Source organism: Homo sapiens, chromosome 17 (assembly GCF_000001405.40).
Source record: "Homo sapiens chromosome 17, GRCh38.p14 Primary Assembly".
NCBI lineage: Eukaryota > Metazoa > Chordata > Mammalia > Primates > Hominidae > Homo > Homo sapiens.
In genome coordinates, this window is record NC_000017.11 from 31753637 (window position 1) to 31754564 (window position 928).

General features: G+C 50.3%; 1 annotated feature.

Moving 5' to 3' along the window:
• Window positions 634-928: a silencer, noted in NCBI's record as "tiled region #6529; HepG2 Repressive non-DNase unmatched - State 8:EnhW, and K562 Repressive non-DNase unmatched - State 22:ReprW". NCBI's record gives its function as "represses a minimal TATA promoter and a strong SV40 promoter by Sharpr-MPRA in HepG2 and K562 cells {active_cell/tissue: HepG2 | K562}" and the evidence as "EXISTENCE:reporter gene assay evidence [ECO:0000049][PMID:27701403]".

Below are 928 nucleotides of genomic sequence, written 5' to 3' on the forward strand. Positions count from 1 at the left end.
CAGGTTGGACACAGCCAGTGCTGGCAGGAGCCCCTTGCCTTTCCTGCCCTTCCCCTCTCCCAGATATCAACAGGTGCTTCCGAGGAATGAGAAGGAAGCCTATCGAGCCACATTCTCCAGAAAAGAGGCGCAGCACAGTCGCTCCAAAAATGTGCAGCCTCTCAGCTGCCTGTGCCAAACCCACCCCATCTGTCCTCAGCCTGTGTTCCCAGGTCCCAAGGCAGTCCTGAGAGACCTCAGAGCACTGGAGGAGACTCCAACCTTGCCTCTGGGCAGACACGAGCTGACACAATAGGGAGAGACCCTTACTCCAAATGAGCATTACTTGATCATCTCCAGCCACTGTGCACGAGCAGTATTTACTTTCTCCATTTTACAAGACACAAAAGCACAGAGAGGTTAAGACAATTGGCCAAAGTTAACCAGCAAGCCAATGCAAAGGTAAAAAGTTAAATCATGGCCTTTCTAGGCTGGCTGCAGTGACTCATGCCTGTAATCCCAGCACTTTGGGAGGCCAAGGCAGGCGGATCACTTGAGGTCAGGAGTTTGAGACCAGCCTGGCCAACATGGCAAAACCCTGTCTCTACTAAAAATTCAGAAAAGTAGTTGGACGTGGTGGTTCACGCCTGTAATCTCAGTTACTCAGGAGGCTGAGTCATGAGAATTGCTTGAACCAGGGAGGCAAAGGTTGCAATGAGGTAAGATTGTGTCACTGCATTCCAGCCTGGAGCAAGACTCTGTCTCAAAAACAACAATCATGGTCTTTCTTGATCCCAAACCCAGCAGCTGGCCATTATCACATTCTCCCCCTCACTGCTGAACCACATCACCATCAGCTCTGTTACTCACTGGTCACAGGAACTTGTGTGAGTCCCTTCACCTCTCTGAACCTCCACATCCACAGTTGTAAAATAGGCAAACTACTGTA